This window comes from Homo sapiens, chromosome X, assembly GCF_000001405.40.
Source record: "Homo sapiens chromosome X, GRCh38.p14 Primary Assembly".
NCBI lineage: Eukaryota > Metazoa > Chordata > Mammalia > Primates > Hominidae > Homo > Homo sapiens.
In genome coordinates, this window is record NC_000023.11 from 123,584,744 (window position 1) to 123,611,549 (window position 26,806).

At 38.3% G+C, this 26,806-nt stretch overlaps 1 protein-coding gene and 1 pseudogene across 18 annotated transcripts in view; one reads left to right on the top strand and one right to left on the bottom strand.

The window, feature by feature from the left end:
- THOC2 (THO complex subunit 2) overlaps window positions 15,826–26,806 on the bottom strand; it is a 132,484-nt gene continuing 121,503 nt past the window's right edge. For 10 of the 18 annotated variants that reach the window (NM_001081550.2, NM_001441235.1, XM_047442273.1 and 7 more), the window contains 3 exons: window positions 26,697–26,773; window positions 26,175–26,220; window positions 15,826–16,595 (listed from right to left, as the gene is read on the bottom strand). In NM_001081550.2, the coding sequence (NP_001075019.1) occupies window positions 26,193–26,220; window positions 26,697–26,773 (105 nt within the window). In that variant the 3' untranslated portion in view covers window positions 15,826–16,595; window positions 26,175–26,192. Of the gene's footprint in view, window positions 19,006–26,174; window positions 26,221–26,252; window positions 26,774–26,806 lie in introns of those variants that run through there. The other 8 variants (NM_001441236.1, XM_047442274.1, XM_047442269.1 and 5 more) reach the window with 4 other exon arrangements.
- FERP1 (FER tyrosine kinase pseudogene 1) lies at window positions 18,397–19,371 on the top strand (annotated as a pseudogene).

The window sequence follows — 26,806 nt, forward strand, 5'->3', positions numbered from 1 at the left end:
AGGAGAAACTGCTTAATGAATACAGAGTTTTACTTTGGAGTGATGGAAATGCTTTGGAACTAGATAGAGGTAGTAGTTTCACAACATTGTGAATGTACAATATGCCACTGATTTGTCAACTGTAAAATGGATTTCATATTGTGTGAATTTCACTTCAATAAATTATTTTTAACTTTTACTTTTTTTAGTTAAACCAAACAACATACCCAAAAAAAGCAAATGAACAGAAGAACAGAACTTGCTCCATGATTGAAGTATAGATTTCTCTCTGTTCCTTACATGTTTTATGTTAGGCCTCATGAATCCACTCTTGCACATGCATAGTCTAGCCATCAAAAGGATTTAGACAGAACTTCTATTTGGAATTTGAGCCTCACTCTTTCTATGATTATTTTGCTTCCAGAATTTCCCCCTTTAAATTTCAAGCTGATCTTCTAGCCCTGAAAGGTACCTTGAGCCAATAAGGCTGTTTTTCTACTGCTGCTTCTCTCAGCCATAGCCATAGGGGTCAAGAAATGTCTTCAGACCGGAAAACTACAAACTCAAAATTCTTACCCCGTGCAGTTGCAGTTTTCTTTCTTCTGTCTGCTTTTGTAGTCTTTCCAGTGCGTTTAACAAGCTTTTAAAAACGTTTCATAACTGTTATCTATGAAAGGGTTCCTGTGACCACTTCATTCCTCCATAATTACCGGAAGACTCTATATTTTAAAACTATATCAACATTATTATAAGAGCTTCCTCATCATTAAATCCACAATATGAGAAAAGTTTCCAAATAAAAAGAGAAGCTCCAACTCCACCATGTACTTTTTATAGGTCAAATATTCTTAATATATTCATATTAAGTCTCAGCTATTTTATTCCTCAGGATAGATAAAAGCATCATCAAGCTTATATGCAGTGTCAAATAACTGATTTTCTTGGTATTAGCTTTATTGAAATATAATTCACATACCACACAATTCACACATTGGAAGTGCACAGTTCAATGGTCCTTAGTGTATTCAGTTTTTCAACCATTACCATAATCAATTTTAGAACATTTTTATCACCGCAAGAAGAAACCATATACCTTTAGCTATGACCCTGTAACTCCCTCATTTCCCCAGACCTAGGCAGCTACTAAACTACTTTCTATCTCTATAGATTTGTCTATTCTTGACATTTCATATAAATTGAATCATATATGTGGTATTTTGAGACTCTGCTTAGTGTTTTCAAGGTTAGCATAATGTTTCCATAGTTTTTTCAGTTAGCATAATGTTGTCAAGATTCAAGCATGTTGTAGTGTATATCACTACTTCATTCCCTTTTCTGGTCGAATCATTATTACATTTTATTTATTCAATTGATGAACATCTAGGTTTCTATTTTTTGAATATTAAAAATAATGCTGCTATGAACACTTGTGTACAGGTTTTTTGTGGATGCATGTTTTCATCTCTCTTGAGTATATACCTAGAAGTGGGATTCATGGGTCAAATGATAACCCTATATTTAACTATTTGAGAAACAGCCAGATTGTTCTCCAAAGCAGCTGTACCATTTTATATTCCTATCAGCAGTATATAAGAATTCTCATTTCTCAGCATCCTAGACATTTTTTTTATTATTTGTCTTTTTTATTCTAGCCATCCTGACAGGTGTGAAGTAGTATCTCATTGTGATTTTGATTTGCATTTCCCTGATAGCTAATAACGTTGATGTGCTTATTGGACATTTCTATATCTTCTTTAGAGAAATGGCTATTCAGATCCTGTGCCCATTAAAAAATTGGGTTATGTATCTTTTTATTATTGACTTTTAAGTGTTCTTTATATAGTCTAGATACAAATCCCTTATCAGATATATGATTTGCAAATATTTTCTTCCATTCTATGGGCTGTCATTTCACTTTTCTGATAGCATCCTATAATGCATTAAAGTTTTTACATTTTCCTTTTTTTTTTTTTTTCAGACGGGGTCTCACTCTATCACCCAGGCTGGAGGGCAGTGGCGAGATGTGGGCTCACTGCAACCTCCACCTCCTGGGCTTAAGGGATCCTCCCACCTCAGCCTCTTGAGTAGCTGGGGCTACAGGCATGCACCACCACACCCAGCTAATTTTTTTTGTATTTTTTGTAGAGACAGGGTTTCCCTATGTTGCCCAGGCTGGTCTCAAACTCCTGGGCTCACTTGATCCACATGCTTCAGCCTCCCAAAGTGCTGAGATTACAGGCATGTGTCACCAAACCCAGCTAGTTTTTAACTTTTGATCAAGTCCAATTTATCTATTTTTTTTCCTTTTTTGCTAATGCATGTGGTGTATATCTAAGAAACCATTGACAAATCCAAGGTCACAAAGACATACTTCTATGTTTTCTTGTAAGAGGTTTATAGTTCTGTTACATTTGGGTCTTTTTTTTCCTTTTTGTGGAGAACAGGGTTTCGCTATATTGCCCAGGCAGGTCTCAAACTCCTGGGCTCAAGCTATCCTCCCGCCTCTGCCTCCCTAAGAGCTGGGATTACAGGCGTGAGCCACCGCACCTGGCCACATTTGGGTCTTTGATCCATTTCAAGTTCATTTTTGTATACAGTGTATACAAAAATTGGATAGACATCCAACTTCATTCCTTTGCACGTGGATATCCAGTTGTCCCAGTGCCATTTGTTGAAGAGATCATTCCTTCCTCATTGAATTGTTTTAGCATCCTTGCTGAAATCAATTGACTATAAATGTGAGGGTTTATTTCTGGATTCTCAATTCTATTCCATTTATCTGTATGTCTATCCATATGCCAGTACCACACTATCTTGATTATTGTTGCATTGTAGACAGTTTTGAAATCAAAAAGCATAAGCTCTCCAACGTTGTTCTTTTTCAACATTGTTTCAGCAATTCTGTGTCCCTTGAATTTCCACATGAATCTTAGGATCAACTTATCAATTTCTACAAAGCAGCCAGCTGGGCTTCTGACAAGAATTGAGTTAAACCTACAGGTCAATTGAGGAAGTATTGCTATATTAATACTAGTAAGTCTTCTAATCCATTAATATAGGATATCTATTTATTTAGATCCTGCATAATTTCTTTCAATAATGTTTGGTAGTCTTAAGAATTTAAGTTTTGCCGCCCCGTCCAGGAGGGAGGTGGGGGGCAGCCCCCGCCCGGCCAGCCGCCCCGTCCGGGAGGTCGGGGGGCGCCTCTGCCCGGCGGCCACCCCGTCTGGGAGGTGTACCCAACAGCTCATTGAGAACGGGCCATGATGACAATGGCGGTTTTGTCGAATAGAAAAGGGGGAAATGTGGGGAAAAGAAAGAGAGATCAGATTGTTACTGTGTCTGTGTAGAAAGAAGTAGACATAAGAGACTCCATTTTGTTCTGTACTAAGAAAAATTCTTCTGCCTTGGGATGCTGTTAATCTATAACCTTACCCCCAACCCCGTGCTCTCTGAAACATGTGCTGTGTCCACTAAGGGTTAAATGGATTAAGGGCGGTGCAAGATGGGCTTTGTTAAACAGATGCTTGAAGGCGGCATACTCCTTAAGAGTCATCACCACTCCCTAATCTCAAGTACCCAGGAACACAAACACTGCGGAAGGCCGCAGGGTCCTCTGCCTAGGAAAACCAGAGACCCTTGTTCACATGTTTATCTGCTGACCTTCCCTCCACTATTGTCCCATGACCCTGCCAAATCCCCCTCTCCGAGAAACACCCAAGAATGATCAATAAATACTAAAAAAAAAAAAAAAAAAAAAAAAAAGAATATAAGTTTTGTACTTCTTTTGTTAAATGTATTCCTAAGTACTTTAATCTTTTTGATGCTATTGTTAAAGATTGTTTTCATAATTTCAGGTTTGATTTGCTCATTGCTACTGTACAGAAATATAATTGATTTTTGTATATTAATCCTTTACCCTCTAACCTTGCTGAAGTTGTTTATTAGTTTCAGCAGATTTTTTGTGAACTCCTTAGGATTTTCTATATTAAAAAAATCATGCCATCTGCAAATACAGTTTTGCATCTTTCTTTACATTTGGATGCCTTTTATTTCATTGTCTTGTCTACTTCCATGGCTAGAACTTCAGTACAGTGTTGGCTAGAATTAGTAAGACTGGACAGTCTTATCTTGTTCCTACCCTTAGGGAGAAACTTCGCTGGCTTATTACCTTTATTGTTTGCTCATATCATATGTAAACTGTGGGTTGACTGCAGGCCAACCCAACAAGAGGCCAAGCCAGGCCACACAATCAGCTTAAATCTCTACTTGGATGTGGCACATGTCATAACTACTCACGATCTATTAGCCAAAGTATGTCAGTCAAGGCCAAAATTAATGAAGCGGGGACCTGTCTTGTCCTCTTCTCACAAAACTCACAGCAGGTCACCAGGCAATGAACAGAGATATATAATACTTTTATGGGAAAGGTAAGAAATAAATAACTGAACTAATACCATCATGGACCCTATGAAATCTATGGCTAATTTCCACTACCACTAATAGAAAATTAACTAAGCAATAAATTCAACTAATGGGCCAGGTGTGGTGGCTCATGCCTGTAATCTCTGCACTTTGGGAGGCCGAGGCAGGTGGATAGCTTGAGGCCAGAGGTTCAAGACCAGGCTGGACAACATGGTAAAACCCCATTTCTACTAAAAATACAAAAATTAGCTGGATGTGATGGCACATGCGTGTAATCCCAGGCATGGGATCACATGCCTGGAGAAACTGGAGAATACAGGAGGTGAGGGATTACCGTGTCTAAGGAATCATTCACCCACAGTAAAAAAATAATAATAATAATTAAAATTTAAAATAAAAAAGAGTTTGAGACCAGCCTGAGCAATATAGCAAAACCTTGTCTCCACAAAAAAAGACACGCCTGTAATCCCAGCACTTTGGGAGGCCGAGGCAGGTGGATCACCTGAGGTCAGCAGTTCGAGACCAGCCTGGCCAACATGGGGAAACCCCATCGCTTCTAAAAGTACAAAAAATTAGCCAGGCGTGGTGGCACGTGCCTGTAGTCCCAGGTACTCAGGAGGCTGAAGCAGGAGAATTGCTTGAACTTGGGAGGTGGAGGTTGCAGTGAGCCAAGACTGCACCACTGCACTCCACCCTGGGCGACAGAGCAAGATTCTGTCTTAAAAAAAAAAAAGAAAAAGAAAAAGAGAAGAAAATAAGGAAAAATGATGATTGCATGACTTGTTATCATGGCTGTACTTTTTATTTTCCTTTTTTGATAGAATATACGTATAAATGTATGGAGTACAAGTGTAATTTTGTTACATGCATTGACTGCATAGTGGTGATGTCAGGGTGGCAAAACATTTTCTAATAGGCCTATCAGTCACCTCTCTCAAGATTTGTAACTTTGACCAACTATCCATAATTAATTATGGTCCAGATGATTTTAGTCTTATAACGCTAGAGGTTAACTCACAGAAAACTACTAAGATGTGGTTTAGTTTTGGGGGGAAGGTTGGTTGGTTTAGTGGATAACCCAAAAACTTTCAGTTTATTGCACAATAAGACATTAGCCAAAGTTGAATGTAACTTAGTAATGTTACTTTGGCTTTTTTTCCCCCAACTGACTACATGAATCCCTGCTTCTCAAATGCTCTTTGAATCAGCATTCTTCTGTATCTGTTCTTTCATTAACTGGTTAAATAAAACTTTAACATGTGCTAACAGATGACTTTGCCTGAGATTTGGGCTCTTACAGACATCATAAAACCTTGAACTCCTCTCCCTCCAACCTCCCACCCATCCTCTGTGCTTCCTTAGCACCCTGTACTTTTCCTATTAAAGCAGTATTCAAACTGCATAGGAATTGCCTATTAATTTATCTCCCTCCCTTACCAGACTGTGACCATCTTGACAGAGGTCTTTCCTTACTTGATTGTAGATCCCCAGGACCAAGTGCAGTGTCTCACATCGTACATGATCAATCAGTGTTTGAGAACAAATGATTGTTCTGTTATTGTTGCAAGGTGATGACCAATAATTAGATGAATAAATGAATCCAGAAAACCTGGTGTCTTGAATGCAGAGGGAATTATCACAATAGACATAATAGTTAAGGGAAAAAATTTAGCTGGTCTTCACTTTTAGGAAAGCCAATATATGAAATTCAAATTTAGGATACAAGAGTGCACATTCATTTTCTTAATGCTTGTTTCGTGGAATAATTCACTGGGGTTATATCCCCTTCTGTGTTTAAGTACCTCTTATTAACTACCTGACTGGGTTAGCTTTAGAATCTGCTGACAAATGAAGATCAGAAGCGAAAGTGTGAGTCAACAGGAAAACTATTTGATTTGTGCTTGTGCACCCAAGACAGCTTTCCAGGAACGTGTTTATTGTGTAAAGTGAACCAAAAGTAATCACGTAATGAAGTAGTTTTGCTTACAGGATAATAGCTCTTTGACCTCTAAATGCCTTGGATAAAAAAAAAGACAAGGAGGGGAGAATAAATGCTGTTTCTATGCTTCACTGTAGCACCTAGAAGAATGCTTGCTATCTTACCTCACTTTCACCCTGTCCAGGCCCTCTCTCCCCATTTAAAACAAAGTGTTCTCCCATCCTTTCTCAAAAGAGGACATACTGTTAATATTTAACTAGGCTACATGAATCAGAATTTTAATGAAACATCACTTGCTACTTTCATTTTAGCATCGGTCTCACTTAAGCCATTGAACGTGTTCTCCAAATATGGTGGATAAATGGAAGTAGCATTCACTGAACTAGGGTTTAAAAGTGTCTTAAGAAAGCTTTCTGACTAAATATAAATAAGCAAATTACTTATTTCGTACCTCAGTGACTTCAATGCCTCACAGAGGCAGAGAGTGCATGTTGGACATCTATTTGTTACTTTGACAAAGATTTAAGACTATATTTAGCCAGTAGGCAAAGTCAGAATTCCCCTGGACATATCCTGCAGGGAGCAATGGGATGTAGCCCTTGAAATATTCCTAATGACCATCTTTTAATATACTGATTCTAAAATGATTAGAGAAGGATTACATGAAAGGTCTCTCTGGCTGATGTCTTCTATTACACAAAATGTTCTTTCTTCAAAGGTTAGCATATTCTTGTTTCTAGGACACCAGACATCAATATTTCCTGTCTGCCAACAGAACTGAAGGGTTAGAGACCCTGGGAAAATTTGTCATGTAAATTGACTCAATTAGTCTTATTTTAGTTATAACGAGAAAATGTATTTGAAAAATTAAAACTCCAATCTTTTGTTTTAATGGAGACAGTGTCTCTGTTGTCCAGGCTGGAGCACAGTGGCACAATCATAGCTCACTGCAGCCTTGACCTCCTGGGCTCAAGCAATCCTCCCACCTCTACCTCCTGAGTAGCTGAGACTACAGGCATGTGTCCACCATGTCTAATTTTTTTTATTTTTTTTAGAAATGGGGTCTTGCTATGTTGCCCAGGCTGGTTTTGAATTCCTAGGCTCAAAGGATCCTTCCACCTCAGCCTCCCCAAGTGCTGGGATTAAGGCGTGAGTCACTGCATGCAGCCTAACTCCAATGTTTTTAAAAGTTGCTCTAAGCTGATATCCTTCCCAGAATAATGACCTCTACCACCAAAATAGAAGAGAGTATTTCCTTCAGCCAACACATTTTCTGTCAAAAATAATTATACCAACCTTGAAAAGAAAAAAAAAAATCTCTATTTGTCCAGAGTTATAGAAAAGGAGTGACACTCATTTTTGATATAGAGACCAACCTGCAAATCCATTTACTCAGGCTCCCTAGTGGGGAAAGCCTGTCTGATTAGCTTAATAACGATCTGTAATGAGCTGTATTCCAAAATTTATCTGTAAGTGAACTGTTTTAGAACATATTTTCCCATAAAAACAAAGGGTGGTTAGAGTTTTTAGACCAGCTCCCAGAAGCCTATGACCTCAACCATGGGACCACTAGTACTAGTCTGTATTCTGGATCCTAAGAGCAATAGGCTGCAGTGCAGGAGAGAAGAGGAAAAAGGTCTCCTTTCCCTTCCTTTCACAGAGCAATTTAGAAAAAAATTTCCCAAAAGGCCAAGCTGAGGTGTGGCACCCTCTGTTCTGCTAATATTCCTCTCCCAGTGTCTTTTAACCTCTCTCAAGCCCCTCAAAGCTACCACAACCCTGAATGTGTGTTGGGGAAGAGGAGTACGGTAGGCTGAGCAACATTAGGGACTCAGCTATGATGGACTGTGTATAAGACATGGACACCAACTCTAGATAAACTGAGATACAGAACAAGGGCTCTGTTTATGGAACTTGGATGCACAGGTAGAGTTAGCCATAAGAGGCAGGAGAAAAATCCTACAACCAAAATCTGCACCCAAAGTTGAAGCTGTACCGGCAGCAAAGCTAATCCTGAGCTGCTGAAACACTTGTGTAGCACTGTTCGTACTCCTCCAGCCCAGGGACAGGATTGAACCCACAGTGTAAGTTTGGTGCTCAATTTAGAGAAGGTTAATGGTCCAGGTGAGATGAACTAAAGATCCATGAGGGCAATGAGTCAAGCAGGTAATAATGATGTTTATCTGATCAAAAAGATTTCTATTCATTTGGAGGAAATGACAAATTGGTCATTCTTTCAATAAATATTTATTGAATACTTACAATATGCCATGTACTACGTTAGAGGCTGGCATTACACAGTCCCTGCTCTCATGGAGCTTATATTCTCGATGAATGTGGAAGAGTTCAGAGGGACCAAATAAATCCTCAATGAAGAGGAAAAAGAGGGAAAAGCACGACTGCTCCAAAGCCACTACTGCTTAGACTTCCAAACAAGCCACCTCATGTTTTGGAGATAATTGTAAAGTATGACCTAGTCAACTATTCAAGAGTTGAATAGTTAAAATATTATTTGGGACACATTTCACCTACACTGAAACTGAGGTAAACCAAGCAAATACAAAACTCAGAAGTTTAACTTCACAAATCAGCCCAAGGTAAAACCAACTGGGCTAGGTCCTTTTTGGCAACTTTCCCACCTCTCCTTTCACCTTCAAGGAACCATCTGGGCTACCCATTGTGGCTCCCTTCCCAGGATAAGGCTTTGTCCTTTTCACTGACTTTTGCCTATGTACATTTACCTGCCCAACCTCCCAGGGCTTTCCTAGGTATAGGAAATAGGAGCATGATGGGGTATCATCAGAAATCATCCATATTTCAGTGCTAGTGTGAGAACTGATTGCCCCCTCACAAAATACCTTACCTCAACGAATATGGAAATCTCCAGAAGTCTCTGTAAAGTGCTTAACTATGAGAATTTCTCATACCACAGCTAGCTAGTAGATGTTTTAGAGCTAAGGCCTTTAGAGGCCCACTCAAACCACACTTGTACAACCACCTGCACCTTACATGTGTGTACATAACCAGGTCTAGAACCCAAAACCTTTGAAGAGTTGATATCACAATGAGTTCTCCATCCCCTAATTTTTAAAAACTAATATTTCTCAAGCTCTACATAAAAATGTGTGCCAGGCCCCATCTAAGCACTTTGCATAAATGTCATTTAATCCTCAGGACAACCTTATGAAATGGTTATTAGCCTCATTTTATAAATGAGAAAACTGACGCACAATCCTTTTAAAAGAAGGCAGGAAAAGAAAAAAAAAGAGAGAAGATGCAACAAACAGAAAATACCAGGATATCAAATGTAAACAGAACCATATTGATAATTACATTAAATGTATGGCGTAAACTTTCAAACTAAAGGCAGAGATTGTCAAATTGGATTAAAAACCAAGAAACTCATTTTCAATATAAAGAAAAAGAATAGAAAATATCCTATGCAAACACAAGAAAAAGAAAGCTAGAGAGGTTATATTAATATCAAAATAGAATTTAGGATAAGGAATATTACCAGGGATAAAGAGGAATATTTCATTTTGATAAAGGGGTCAACTCACTAAGAGTATATAATCTTAAATGTGCATGTACTTAATAACAAAGTTTCAAAATACATGAAGCTAAGAAATGACAAAACCAAAAGAAGAAATAAGACAAATTCACAATTGTATTTGCAGATTTCAACATGCTTTTCTTAGTAACTGACAGACCAAGCAGAAAATAAATTAGCAAGAATACAGAAGACTTGGAACACCACCAACCAACTTGACCTAATTGGCATTTATAGAATACTACATCCAATAACAACAAAATGAACATTCTTTTCAAGTGCATGTGGAATATTCACCATGGAAGACCAGCTACTAGATCATAAAACAAGTCCCAGTAAATTTAAGGGGATTTAAATAATTCATAGTATGTTCTTTGACCACACAAGACTAAATTAGATAACAACAGAAAGATATCTGGAAAATCTGCAAATACTTGGAAATCAAGCAACACACAAGGATAAAAGAAAAAATAAAGAGAAATTGGAAAACATTTTGAGCTGAATGAAAATGATAATGCCACACATCAAATTTGTGGGATCGAGTGGAATAGTGATTAGAGGGAAATTCATAGCATTAAATTATTAAGCATTTATACATACCCCCCCTTCACCATCAGTTTATTTTGCAAGGAAAAACAAAGAATGAAGGACAAAATCCAGTCCTGAACACAAGTCCAATAATATAAAAGTGAACTGCTACAGATTAAAGAAGGTGTAAGTGGTATCAAAAAACATTCTGAACTTCAAACTGCTTATTTCAGTAGCAGATGCTTGCTGACAATATACAGCTAGTCTAACAAGAGGTGAGATTCAGAAAGGTCAGTGAAGGAAGGCTGGAAAAGTCAGGGGGTCCATGAACAAGAGTAGCACGGGCTAGCAAAGTTGATAAACTCTGATACCAGGACAGAGGCTATTGCCATTGATTTGAAAATATTCCTTTCTAGGCATGGGTTGTCTCTGGGACATAATATACTTATCACCTCCAGAAATAAGAAGTCTCTGAGTTTTGTCCAAAATTAAGAACTGAGATGCGGGGATTGTGTGCTGGTTTAACTCCGTAATTCCCAAATATTATCCCTACTTTGGAATCACCTGAGGAACTGTTTGTAGAAAATACTCCAGGTCCCTACTCTAAGAAAATCTGATTCAATATACTTGATGTGGGGACCTCCAAAAGTTTCTCAATTCATTCTAATGATTCTCAGTTTGGAAAGTACTGGTATGAATACTACCACTAATAACAACAACTGCTACTAGTTATTGAGTACCTGCCAGGTACTAGGTCCTGTTTTAGGTGCTTGACATGTATTGTTAGATTTAATTCATTAGCAGAAGGGCATTGTGAAGATCAAGTGAGACAGTGTAAGAAGTTTCAGTGGAGTTCATCCCCACTCAGAGGAATACAAATGGACAAGGAAAGTCATCTTGACATAGAGACGACAACTTTTTAATTACCTGTAAAGACATGAAAAATGTAATTAACACTGATTAAAGCAATAAAAAGACTGATGATGTCAGGGGTTAAGACCAAAAAAAGGGGAAAATATTGAGGCAGTTAAGGAAAAGTACCCAAAGAGGTAGAGAGCATTTGTCTCTCAAATCTGATCTATTCCTGGGCTGGTATAACAAATTGGCTTCAAAGATTCTGCATAATACCAGAATTGTTCAGAATTCCAAGTTCAACATTCACTCTCCGCCAGTGCCAACTTAGAGTTAAACGAGACCCCAAAAGACCTATACCTTCTAGGTCTAAGGAGAAAGCAATTGGCTTCCTTAGAGTCCAAATCCTTTATAAAATTTTCCTAGACGAACCTGTTGTGGACAAAAACTTCTCAAATCACACTCAGTCTGAGGTAATTCTTACCGAGTATTCACCAACCTCTTAAAATGTACCTGGTCCCCAGCTGCATGTGGTATGGATACCTTACTCATTTTACATATTGTTTCTTGCTTAGCATGTTTGTCTGTCTTACTGATGTCTTGGATCAATTATTCCAGAAAGCAGAAAAGATGCTGTTTAATAGTGCCTAGCAATGGCGTATCCAATTACAATTCAGAAGTGTTCTTTGATAATGATGATATATGTAATAGGAAATAAGTACTATTACATACCACATGAAATTAGGATCAAGAAAGCCTTGAACAAAGTACAGTATCATTCTGGCTAAAATATAAGAAAATTTTTTGAGGACAGAGGTAATAATAGCTGTCTATTGGTCTGATACTCGAGCCCAAGGACATCTAGCTGTCATCTAACAAAAATCAGAGGTCCAACTAAGCTAGAGGTTAAGTGCCAGGTCATTTTCTAGCTCCTATCCATGAAATGAAGGCTATTTCTGATCTGCAATTATGTATTTCTCAAGCTTATGTGCCCTGTGCCCAATCAGAATCATCTCTGTTCCCTCTCCTTCCTCTATTAACCACATCCATTTAGCAACACATCAAAGGAATTAAGCTTTTTAAGCCTGATCCATTTAGAAATGGCCATTCATTACAGCTTAAAACAGTACCTAAGAATCAGGAACAAAAACAGAATTTTTTACATTAAGGTTTATTTTCTCAGGTTGCCACACTTCCTTTAATCACTACTTCCAATATCCCTCCTTTTGTTGTTCTTATGTCTACTTCTGTCTATAAATAGAAGAAAATCTGTGTTCAGTTAGCATGAATTACCATCTTTTATGCAGCTCCTCTTTTTATTCTCAACTCTGGACCCAATAAAATCTCCTTGGCCCTGAAAGATAGTGTCTCTAGAAATGTTACTTCAATTTTTAAAACTTAATCATTTACAAGATAAGCGGATCACTTGAGGTCAGGAGTTCGAGACCAGCCTGGCCAACATGGTGAAACCCTGTCTCTACCGAAAATACAAAAATTAGCCGTGTGTGGTGGCACGTGCCTGTAATTCAGGCTATTCGGGAAGCTGAGGCAAGAGAATCTCTTGAGCCTGTGAGGTGGAGGCTGCCGTGAGCCAAGATCGCACCACTGCACCCCAGCATGGGCAACAGTGAGACCCTGTTTCAAAAAAAACAGAAACAAACAAAAACTTAAGCATTTAAACCACATTTCTGATAAGTATTGAGATAGAATATTGAAGTTACAGTATAATAAGCTTCATTCTATCTAAGAGGCAGCCTTAGAGATCACCATCCATAAAAATGAAACAAAGGGCAGGCAAAGCTTTTACACTAAAGAGGTCTTGTTCATATTACTTGTATTATGGGAACCAAACAACAGTCGCATGAGTTTCCTAATCTTTACAAACATACTTACAAAAAACAAGGCTATAATAAATCCCAGTTTACAAACCCTGTCCCAAATATTTAAAAATATTTTCCTGGACTGAAACAAATCATCAGAGACCTGCATGCCTGGACCGCATGTTCCGGTGTCATTGTAGAAATAACCTTACTAGAATGAACTAAGGTGTTGGCCATCGGGTAATACTCAAGACCATTTAAAAGACACATTCCTTTGTTTTATCCACTGAAAAGACATGACTGCTTTGTGAATGCAAAGAAGTTTCTTTCAGGCCTCGGTGCCAGGAAACATTCTTCTCTGCTGCAACTAGCTTTATATTTGATGGACACTAGTTCCTATAACTAACCACATTACCTTCTCTTTGTGGCCTGCCAGTTTCTCCATGGCCCACTTGTACATGACATTTTGGGGCAATAGCTTCATTTAGGTTACTAATTTCACCCAGAAACAAATTTTCTCATTTAAAGATACTGTACTATGTTTTTTTTTTTTTCATAAATCCTTTTTGGATCATAGTAGGGTAGAAATAAATCAATTACATAATTGTCCTAAAAAAAAAAAAAGGCTACTAGGATGTCTGCCCATACTTGGCTAAAGTACCTCCTTAAAAGAGGAAATGGCCCGCATGGACCAGTTACTTTCCAACAAATTGCAAATCACTTGTAGATTATTTGCCAAGGCAAGAAAGGCTGCTGCTCTAACTTTAGCCCCTACCATTTAATCCAAGGTAGATAGACAACTGCCTTCCACCTTCTCACCATCCCCAAAAAGATTCAGAGTTAGTTATAAAGGTCTCAAACACCTTTGGAACAAGACCCATTAAAACAAACTTACCACCTTAGGCTTATTTTCTTGAGAATCTGGCAAAAGCTATAGACTCAGAAAAGTGTACATAACACAAACTTGTACCCAATTTCTGGGATTCTGGAAGGCCCATAAATACCCCCCAAGCTCATTCATGAGCCTTTAGTCAAGAACTCCTTTCTAGAAAATGGCAAGCCTAGATGCCACCCACTAGAACAACAGAGAGAGAGAGAGAGAGATCCTGCATATTATGTTTATGTAAAAGGTTCAAAGATGGGTTGGGAATCACAGACAGATTATTCGGTAATAAAATATTCATACTGTAATAACTGCCTCAAAATGCCCTGCTTCGCTCATCTTCACTCCATAGTCACTGTGTAATCAGCAGTAAATTCGGCCTCACCCCAGTCTCCTTATCCAGGTTTATTCTTCCTCAGAGGACCTCCCTCCAAATAACATTATTTGTTTGTTGTCTGCCTCCACTGACTAGAATGGAAGTTCCATGAGGGCAGGGGTTTGTTTTGCTCATGGCTGTACCTCTGATACATAAGAGGCACTCAAATATTTCAATAGGTTTTTGGGGAACTAGTGGTGTTTGGTTACATGAATAAGTTCTTTAGTGGTGATTTCTGAGATTTTGGTGCACCCATCACCCAGGCAGTGTGCACTGTACCCAATGTGTGGTCTTTTATCCCTCACCCCTCTCCCACCCTCAAATATTTTTTAATGAATACCCTATAGGACTCTCTACTCTTTATAGAAGGGGTTGACAAACTACAGCCTGCAGGCCAAATCTAGGCTTCCACCTGTTTTTGTAAATAAACTTTTACTGAACTCAGCCATGCTTATTCACTTACATATTATTTATAACTGCATCAACACTACAATGGCAGAGCTTAGTAGTTGCAATGGGAACTACATGGCCTGCAAGGCCACAAATATTTACTATCTGGCCCTTTACAAAAAGTTTGCTGGCCCCCCATAGCATTCATTTGGTTCTTCTTTTCCAAACTAGATTGGAAGCACTCTCGAGACAGGTCTTATACTTCTTTGGACCTAGAACAGAGTAGATGCCCTAAAATAGCTAGCACTTTACAAACACAGATTTCCTACTTCCAACATACATTATTTTTACACAGTTAATCCAAAGATAGTATTTTCCATCATCAATGCATTTCTAGTAAGGCCAGAACTAATTACCTGTGTTTGATGATTTGGGGCAACACAGAGAAGGCATATTGATGCTATCTAATTAGTAAACTTTCTAGTTCAAAACCACAATCATGTAACCTTTAAAATATGAATGCATATTTAACAACTGGAAAGTTCTTCCTGATATCTTTCAGGCAAATAATTTTGAGGTAAGCCATAGTTATTTTCTCAAAGTCAAAAATCACTCTAACAAAACATCTATTTTTATGTCAGGCACATTATAAGCACTCAACAGTCACTGAATATATCACCCTCCCATAAATATTCTGCTCATCGATTTTTGCAAATTACAATTACCTGAAAAGAGACATCAAGATTTATACCCTTTTGCCAATTCATTTAAAATATGCTCAGTAATTCTCAATTCTTTAAAAAGTTATATCCTTTTTGTCATTCTCTGAAAATTTTAATTTGCATAGGTATCGTTTCCAAGGAACTGAAGACTAAATGGAAAAATCCAGGCATGCTACCAAGTCCACTGTTTACTCCAACTACAGAGGTAATCAAACAGGATATTTTCCTATTATTGGATGATATGTCACTGGAAAATAATGTAGCCCATGGAATAAGAACTGAGAAGGGCTAGGAACCTTAATGAATTATCTTTGCTAAGTTATTCTGAATAAGCAACAATATACACAATAATATACAACCATTTGAGAAAACTATTGTTTATTTAGAAAAAAGGTTACACTGGTAGAATTCGGCAGATAAAAAAATTCTCTTTTAAAAATGTCACTGTGAAACTTTTCCAGATGAAAGTTCAGCAATACAAAGCTCCTACAGCTGTAGAATTAAAACAATTATGTTTTGATCCCCCCGCCGCCAAGATTTGTCTAACATAATTACAAGAAAAAATGGCAAGGGACAAGTGATCGCTGGTACCTTTTTCTTTTTTAAACACGTTTAATGTTGTACATGTACTATATAAAATGATTCCTAAGCATTTCATAAGACAATGCTCCCACTGCTTTTAGTGACTAATATTAAGAACAAGCCAAATAATAAATTAAAACAGTTTTAAAATGAGGTAAAATCAAAAGGGTTCAACAATTGTTTATTTTCAGTTTCAAACAATAAAAAGGAAGCATTTCAGAATGGAAATAAAAACTGAACCCAGGCAATATTTAGTTAATCTAAAGTAAAACTCTGTACACAGGTAACCTTATGCAGCACATTGTGCTAAAAGTATGGAACAGTTAACACTTTCAGCCATTACTGAAAATAAACATGTAGAAACTAAGCAACAAGTTAAAATACAGTAATGCACAACTTAACAATTTTAAGTTTTCCACATGGAGCAATAAAGCAGGTAACTGAATAATTTAAGGAGATGCAAATGGCCCTCTTCATTCTTAATTCTCGGCAATTTACTCAGGAAAATAAATTTCTGGTCGCAGCCGAACAGTTCCAGTCCGATCTCACCTGAAAGAAACAAAGTGATTATATTGATAGAGAAGAAGGAAGGAAGGAAGGAAAGGAGGGAGTAGGGGAGGGAGGCTTAGTCAAAGGAGGTAGGAGAAAAGGAAGGGAGAAGGAGAGAAGGAGAATGAAAGGAGGAGGGAGGGAAGAAGGGAGGGAGGGAGGGAGGGGAGAAGAAAGGAAGAAGAAGAGAAGGAAGGAGAGGAAAAGGTAAGGAGGGAGGAAGATTTAAGAAAGAACAAGAAGTTAATGAGTTCCATCGGTAACAAAGACTTGAGTCCCCAGAAAAGGATGAAATATTTGTGTGTTTCTTTTTGTCCATTCTTAGAATCCATTAAAGATAAACACACTAATGATGACTTAAAAAAAAAATTGAACATTGTGTGCGTGTGGGAGAGAGGGGTGGGGGTAGGGAGAAAAAAATGGAGCAACAAGTAAAACATTCCACAACGGCAAGCAATAGCTTATTAAATAGAAAATGTAGCAAAGAAAAGTAACCTATTTTACATGATCAACAAAAAAAGGAAAATGACATCACATTTTTCACAAGGACACAATTTTAATAGTAACTTATATTAAGATGCAGTGTCTGCTAAATTATAAAAATTGCTTTAAAAATATATTGACTTAATTATACTCATTTCCTTTCCTTTATGTATTGACATTTTTCAAATACTTCATATTGAAATAATTTCAAAACATGATTATTACAACATGTGGCAAATATCTTCACATCTGCCTTCATTCAAATTTTAAGCTAATGCTTAATGCATTAAACTTTATTGATGAAAATACTACATTCACATATTTCTTAAAACCAGGGCTAGAAGGGTCCTTAGAAAATAATCACTTACATGAAATGCTGACAAATAATTTACATACCATTTCGACACAGCATTCTGTTCACACCATGTATAATCTTGATATTATCAATAACTGTGGATACATTTAATGTTGAACTTACAATTTAATACTTAAAAGCCATTGTTCCTGTCCATTAATTGCTGAATGGATAAATAAAATGTGGTACACACTCATACAATGAAACATCATTTAGCCATAAAAAGGAATGCAGTACTGATACATGCCACAACATGGATGAGCCTTGAGAACATGATGCTAAGTGAAAGCCAAACACAAAAGGCCACAAATTATTGCATAATTCCATTTAAATGAAATGTCCAAAACAGGCAAAATCACAGAGACAGAAAGTACATTACTGGTTTCCAGGGGCCGAGGAAGGGAAGAACTGGGAGTGACTGCTAATAGGCATGGAGTTTCTTTTTGGGGTGACAGAAATGCTCTGGAATTAGACAGCGGTGATGCTTGCACAACATAGTGGATATACTAAAAACCATTGAATTGTACACTTTAAAAATGGCAAGTTTGAGGCCAGGCGTCATGGCTCACGCTTATAATCCCAACACTTTGGGAGGCCGAGGCAGGTGGATCACCAGGTCAGGAGATCGAGACCATCCTGGCTAACACGGTGAAACCCCTATCTCTACTAAAAATACAAAAATTAGCCAGGCGTGGTGGTGCACGCCTGTAGTCCCAGCTACTCAGGAGGCTGAGGAAGGAGAATTGCTTGAACCCAGGAGGCGGAGGTCACAGTGAGCCGAGATCGCGCCACTGCACTCCAGCCTGGGAGACAACAGCGAGACTTGGTCTCCAAAAGAAAAAAAAAAAAGTGAAAGGTAAATTTGATGTTATATGAATTTTATCTCAATTGTTTAAATTGCAAAAAAAAAAAAAGTCAATGTTCCAATTAAGAGCATCATGGTATCACAGTATGGCCATTAGGAGAATAAGAAATGGGTTCTCAATCATAAAGGTGCCACGTTACAAGAGGCAAGGGAAATTTTGGTGACACATTTAAGGTCACATTAAAGGATAAAATTGCTGTTGCTGTTAAAACACGTCAAGAACGTCTTCCCCAGGAACTGAAATTAAAATTTTTACTAGAAGCCAAAATCCTCAAGCAATATAATCATCCCAGTAATGTCAAAAGTATAGGAGTTCACACACAAAGACGGCCTATCTACGTCATTAAGGAACTGGTTCCTGGAGGCGATTTCCTCTCCTTTCAGAGAAAGAAGAATGAACTAAAACTCAGTGAAATTTTCATTAGATGCTGATTCTGGATGGTGTATCTCGAGTAAAAAATGTATACACAGGGACCTTGCTGTAAGAAACTGCCTGGAGGTGAAAATAATGTTCTGAAAATCAGTGACTTTGGAATGTCTCGTCAAGAGGATGGTGGTGTGTACTCATCTTCTGACTTAAAGCAGATTCCCATTAAATGGACAGCACCAGAAGCTCTTAATTATGGGAGATATCATTCTGAGAGTGACGCACGGAGCTTTGGCATCCTCCTCTGGGAGACTTTCGGCTTAGGGGGTCTGTCCATAGCCTGGAATGACAAATCAGCAACCACAAGAGCAAGTGGAAAGAAGATACTGGATGTCAGTCTCTTGGCAGTGTCCACAGAGTATTTTAATAAAATAATGCTGAGGTGTTAGGATTACAAACTTGAAAACTGCCCCCAAGTTTACTGAACTTCAGAAAGAGCTAGCTGTCATCAAGAAGAAAGTTGCATAGTGATGAAGCAGTGCCAAACTCAGCCTTCAGGACTCTATTTTCAGCAAAGCAGTATTTTTCTTCTTATTAACATTTATACCACATTACCTGCAACATTCTCCTAAGTGTTTTATTAACTATTTTTTAATATGTACTGCTTTAACCATTGTAAATAAGAAAGTGTAAGTTCTGAATGTAAGGGATCACACAGATCTATCTTTTTCACATCTAGGACTGTTGCTGCTTCTCAAAAATTTTCTACTCCAGGCTCAGTTCATAGTCTGCTGTTCTCCATCACAGACACCTATTGGTGCTATAAGCTGTATTGGTAATATCACATACCACATTTGTAGGACACATCTCAACAGAAGATGGCCTTCCTACTCTGCTGAGACAAGATTATATGTGTGAACGCCATTTTATATTGGTAATTATCTGGACCTCCTGAGTTGTTTGTTTTTTTTTTTTCTTTTTGGCCAGAGATAGGTCCTGTTTTGTTAGTAAGACTGCCATTTCCCTATGTTTCACAATGCCGTCCTATGCACAAACATCCTCAAAGAGTTGAGGCAGCTGATTTTAACTGATGTTACAGAGAGCTGTGATAGCAAGAATCAAGTTTGAAAAGTAAGGTGGTCTGGAGAAAGGAACAGCTAGGGTGGTGATCAAAGTAGAGAAGAAAAGGCAAACATAAAACCAGCCTTCTTAACAGAGGTATGCCTTTATAAAACACATACACGCTTTTTAATTTTATGATCAAATTCACCAAAAAGGTCCTAAGAAATGTTTTAGTAGTTTATATAGATTCTTCATAAAAGAGCCCTCTGGATGGCAACCAAACAATTTTTAAGAGAAACTATAAAATCAAGCCCACCAAAATAATATATTATTTTTGGTTAAGTGTCTTCACTTCACAGGAAGCATCCCAGAACTGCATTCCATGCATTTTTACTAGTGTCTGAAACTGTCAGGATTTTATTCTCATTCTCTCGTTCTTTTCACATAAACCCCAGGTAGAAAGGCATATAAAGATGAACTTGACATTTAAAAAGTCAAACAAATATTTATAAGGAAGAAAGAAGTTATGAGAAAGACATGGGGACAGCCATCCTAAATCCACTTTACTCCTTCATTTACCCTTATACTGCAACCTAGGAATTCTTTATAGCAAACAGAGTTCCTGAGATGTTCCACGTGGATAAAATGTAACAGAGTTAAGACGTGGATTCTGTTGAGCTGAAACTTAACTGCACCCAGGGATGCTTTTCAGGATAATTATGTGTGTAGGGGAAAGACACACTCAGGGCAAATGTTGTATGGAAGCCTTTTATAAGTGCTCATGCCCATGTCAAAATTTTAAAAAACAGCATATAAATGAATATTTGCTCTACCGTAAGTGGAAGAGCAAGGAAATAGAAAATTTCTCCTGCCCTCTTCAACTTTTCATGCCTATGAATATCAGTGCACAAAACCTATACTCAGTATTTTTTTTAAGTATAAAAGTTGATAATGAAGACAGAAATGATTTGTGTCTGTCATTTCAAGCTCCTTACAAGAGTCTAGTATACATTTAATGGTTACTACATACAGACCAAAATGAGAGCATATTAAATCTGCCCTCAAAAAATATGCTGCAGCAAATAAGCAAGCTCTTTTAATCAGTATAGGTTCCCTTCCTATAAAATGGTGTGTTTGGTGGCAAAAAAAGTCAATGTTGCACTTATACAGAGATATTAAATGTTTCTCTGGCATCAATGTGAACATTGATGAGTTCCCTATCCCATACCCTTTACCAATACCTATCGTCAACATCTAGGAATAAGCCTCAGAATGGCAATGCATTCCTAAAACAAGAAATCTTCAGGAGCTTAGGAGGTCAGTTTCCAAGTATGAACTGAAGGGAAAACAAACAAACAAAAAAAGGCTTAGAGCTGGAATTACAAAATCAATTGTCTACAAAGGCCAAGAACGTGATGAAAACAAAAGAAACGAGCTGAGTGGGGACTGACGGAGGTGAACTGTTTTTAAAAAGGCCCTTGCTCTATTCTAAAGGGGGGCAGCACCTAGACAAGTCTAGCTGAAATCAGGACATAATGATGCTATGCAGAAATCAGAACACAATGTTACCAGATGTTCCAATCCTTCAAGAAAAACTGAAATTTGGATTTTGTCAATTCTGATTTTTAAAAACAAACAGATTTTTAAAATTTTGAAATATTGTGTGAGGTTAAGAAGGTGCATTTTGCTGGCGGTGGTGGCTCACATGTGTAATCGTACCACTTTGAGAGGCAGAGGCAGGAGGATTACTTGAGCCCATGAGTTCAATACCAGCCTGGGCAATATAGTGAGACCTCGTCTCTACAAAAAAAAAAAAAAAGAAAGAAAGAAAGAAAGACAGGCCGGGCGTGGTGGCTCACACCTGTAATCCCAGCATTTTGGGAGGCCAAGGAGGGCGGTTCACTTGAGGTCAGGAGTTTGAGACCAGCCTGGCCAACGTGGTGAAACCCCGTCTATACTGAAAATACAAAAAAATTAGCCAGGCATGGTGGCACATGCCTGTAATCCCAGCTACTCGGGAGACTGAGGCATGAGAATCGCTTGAACCCAGGGGGTAGAGGTTGCAGTGAGCCAAGATCGCACCACTGCACTCCAGCATGGGTGACAGAGAGAGACTCTGTCTCAAAAATGAAATGAAATGAAATGAAATGAAAAATAAAATAAAGTACATTTAACATCCCACATTCTGCCCAAGGGCTGATAATTTGCAACGTAGGATTTAGAGGATAAAAATTAGGTTACACATGTGAGACTGGAAGGAATGGACCTGCAAATATATTTGGCCTTCTTGGAATGGAGGATTAGAATAGGAATGTAGTAGATTAAAAATACAGATTATGAATAAGTAGTGCTAACTGCTAATGTTCTTTAAAATCAAAGTCCTACATCCAAAATAATAAAAAGCAAGGAGACTGAGTATCTCAAGGCCTGGGAGCAAATGTCAGCTTAGCACAGCATTTGGTTCACAAAAGGACTTTCAAAAGTTTGCTGAACTCAACATCCCTGAGTTGAGGATCACATATATCAAGTTAAAATTGAGAAGCCAAAGGGTGGTGGTTCTCAGAGGACAATTTTATAAGCAGGAATTAAAAAAAAAAAAGTTAAAGTAGGAAGGAAGGTTAAAGGCAAAGGAACTAGTAATCTTCAAGAGACTAAATCAAGGAGAGGCAAGATGAATTTGTACAAAGACTTTAAGGGCAACAGAAGATGCAGAGAAGGAACAGAGTTTTGCAACCAAAAACAGAAGACGAGAAAAGATGACAGAAGACTGGAAGGAATTTAATTATGGTCATATTTATATACTGTTATCTTCTTAATTCTTAAGAGACAGAGTCTTGCTCTGTCACCCATGCTGGAGTGCAGTGGCATAATCATGACTTACTGCAGCCTCGAACTCCTGTGCTCAGGAAATCCTCCTGCCTCAGACTCTCAAGGAGCTGGTACTACAGGTGCATACTACCATGCCTAGCTAAGTTTTATTTATTTATTTATTTATTTATTTATTTATTTATTTATTAGAAATGGGGTCTCACTATGTTGCCCAGGCTGATCTCAAATTCCTGGCCTCAAGCAATCCTCTTGCCTCAGCCTCCTACAGTGTTAGGATTACAGGCATGAGCCACCATGCCTGGCCTTGTATCTTAATTCTAATGTGATTATTTTAATGTTTGTGAAAATCAGGATGATACTTACAAATCACTGTCATTTCTCTACCAACCCTCCTTAAAAAAACTGTTCTAAAAACAATAATGAAATCTTACAAGTAACGACATCTTTCAATCATGGAAATATGACATATGTAAGAGCTGTCCTTTCTATAGAATAGAAAATAAAAGGTGAGTGGGGGAGGGCAGCAGATTTCAAAGTAGCCTGTAAATAGACGGTTCCAATCAGATATGATAACATTCTTAAAGAAAAGGAAGAAAAACAGACCTGACCAACCCTGGAATGTATCCAAATAGAAAGTAGCAGTCAACAGCCAGAAAAAGAAACTATCAGCCAGGCATGGCAGCTCATGCCTACAATCCCAGCACATTGGGAGACCAAGTCAAGCAGATGGCTTGAGTCCAGGAGTTTCAGACCAGCCTGGGCAACATGGCGAAACCCCGTTTCCATTTAAAATTTTTTTTTGTTTTAAAATAAACTATCGGCCAGGTACAGTGGCTCACGTCTGTAATGCCAGCACTTTGGGAGGCCGAGGCAGGTGGATCACCTGAGGTCAGGAGTTCAAGACCAGCCTGGCCAACATTGTGAAACCCCGTCTCTACTAAAAATACAAAAATTAGCCAGGCGTGGTGGCACGTGCTTGTAGTCCCAACTACTAGGGAGGGTGAGGCAGGAGAATCGCTTGAACCCGAGAGGTAGAGATTGCAGTGAACCAAGATTGCACCATTGCACTCCAGCCTGGGCGACAGAGTGAGACTCCATCTCAAAACAAACAAACAAAAAAAAAAAGAAACTATCAGCCAGATGGCCCAGCACAGTGGCTCAGACCTGTAATCCCAGCACTTTGGGAGGCCAAGGCAGGTGGATCACCTGAGGTCAGGAGTTCAAGACCAGCCTGGCCAACATGGTGAAACCTTGTCTCTACTAAAAATACAAAAATTAGCCAGGTATGGTGGTGCGTGCCTGTAATCCCAGCTACTCAGGAGGATGAGGCAGGAGAATCTCTTGAAGAATCACCAGGAGAATCACCTGGAAGGCAGAGGTTGCAGTGATCCAAGATCGCACCATTACACTCCAGCCTGGGCAAAACAGCGAGACTTCTTTGTCTCAAAAGAAAAGAAACTATCAACCAGAGTCTCACAAAATTAAGAGTCTACCCAAGAAGAAAGTATCGTACAAAGTTGTCAATGAGGAATTCAACAGGATGGACATCCAGCTAGACATACTTTTAAAAGAACATCTGAATCTAGAAGTTTTGCTATAAGACCACGAGCCAAATATCTAACCCTGACCAGTTTTGTCATCCCTTTGTTCCTAAGAGATTACACAGAGGGGTAAAATACAAATTCATGGTCAGTGCAAGAAAAACTCAAATCTGTAGCATAACCTTCACATACAAAAGAATAATATTTGGGTACTGAGTAAACAGAGATATATAAAATCACTGTGAAAGTTGTCAGTGACAATGGCTGGCTCATTCCTCATGAAGATATGAAAGGTGGGCTTTTTGTTTTTCTTTTAATAGGGAGACCACATGTGACAGCAAAATGCCAGATTAAAAGAAAGGTTAAAATGAGGATTAAGAGTTTATGGCTCACCAGAGAAGATAGTTGTAAGGTTGGGATGGGGGTAGGAGCAGCTAGAATTGAAGAATTAGCAGTAATATTTCCTTTTAAATCTATTAAATTCGAAATGTTCTTTTATAACTCTCATTTACCCTACTTTACCCTAATCTACTTACATAGCAAGCACCAAAAAAGCAGGAAAAGCACACCATTCATCATGTGTTGACTATAAGGCAACCTCTCGAATCCCTGCTTTGCAGCCAAAATAAAGATGACAAAATCCATACCTTTAAGCCCATACCCTTATACAGAACTGGCTCTCAGACATTTCTCACTTGTAATTTAAACACTGGTAAACAGCCTTGGTTATCTATCTGGTCTCATAAAAGATTAGAAGCATCCAATAATATTAGGGGGGAGGTATAGACAAGCAAGGATACTTAATTAATTAATATATTAACGAAGTATAGAAAAGCAAGTATACTTAATATATTAAGAAATGATGGCTAACATGGAAGCAAGAAAACGGGCTATAAAAAAGCAGAGTCGGCCAGGCACAGTGGCTCACACATGTAATCCCAGCACTTCGGGAGGCTGAGGCAGGTGGATCACGAGGTCAAGAGTTCAAGACCAGCCTAGCCAACATGGTGAAACCCCATCTCTACTAAAAATACAAAAATTAGCCGGGCGCGGTGGCAGGCGCCTCTAATCCCAGCTACTCAGGAGGCTGAGGCAGGAGAATCGCTTGGACCTGGGCGGCAGAGGTTGCAGTGAGCTGAGATCGCGCCACTGCACTCCAGCCTGGGCGACAGAGTGAGACTCTGTCTCAAAAAAAAATAAAAATAAAAAAATAAAGGCAGAATCAACAGCCTCAAAACACAGCTGTCTGGAACCATTACATTTAGGGGGCAAATTGTCCTACGTACTTCAATAATACTAAGGCATCACCAAACAGTAACTATTCAGATTATCTTAAGTGCTCAAAAAAGGCGATGTTAGGGTCTGAACACTGTATCCACTATGATGGAAACACAATTTATTTAAGATGGGTAAAATACTTTTTAAATCTCACATAAAGCATTAAGTGCATTACCTAAAAAAAGAAAAAAAAAGAAAAAAAAAGTTACACATTGTAAATTCCAGAACTAAAAACACAGACCATATTTTCTGTTGCAAAACATGGGCAGTGGTAAAAAAAAAAAAAATGGCACGAAAACTTAAAAATCTTTGGATAAGACATCAGCATGAGAAAGCAAAAGGAACAGAGAACACTAAAGGATAGAAAGACTGAGGATAGTCAACTGGCTCTGTTGACTAATATCTTTATGACCCTCTTCAACTTAACCTCTCAGAGTCTGTTTCTTCACTTATAAAATGCAGATACCACTACCACCATTTACAAGGCAATAAGGACTTTAAAAACATAATTAATTATCCAGAGAAGATGGGAATAAGTGGTGAAGAGAAAGCCAGATGTTCTTAAATATATCTTGGTGCTTAAAAAAAAAATGTGTGGCTAATCAGCAAGCTTAAAATGAAAACAGCTTAAAAATAACTCTGAATCTTGTTTTGCATCTATACCCGAAGACTTGGTCGTTATATTTAGGTGAAAAAAACAAGTAGTTGTAGCTTGTAAAATGCATCTAGTTTTTCAACATTATCAGAACTCATTTTATGTTTCTATCATTAAGTGAAAAGGTGGTGAGAGAACACTCACCTTGATGGAAAGTCTTCATTATCTGTGCTTGTCCGAGGACTTATGAGTAGATGACAAATTAAGGGAAAACAACTTTTGGGAATGGCGGAAAGAACAGCATCTCCCCTTTTAGTACAGCACCTCAGGTTGCAGGCCTAAATGGGCTCTGACCAGCCTGGTAGCCTCAAACTCTACCAGCTCTGCTTGTCTGACTCATCATTTTGCCCTTCTATTCCCAATGTCCCCAGCCCTAGGGACTCTCTGTTCCCTTTCTTCCTCTCTGTGATAATATAACCTGAAAGACTATAAATCCCTTAGTGGCATAAAACATCTCAGTCACCACAGAAGTATTTTTAAATATCAAGAACATCAAGTATCCCACTTCCAGATTTCACACATTTTGAGAGTTAACTGGAAAGACCATTTCAAAACTAATCAGCCCTTAAGCATATAAACCACATACTAAAAGAGTACAATTGTAAACATGACCAGTATCAAAGCTTTCTACTACACTAACTGAAAACATCAAAATGAAAAGGATATTGTTTCTTCTCTTCCTTTCCTCCTGAACTGTCCCGTTTCTCTTTCTTTTCTATCTTTTCTTTATCATGCCTGGACTCCTATAAGAAATAGTAGAATTAGCTGGGGAAGGG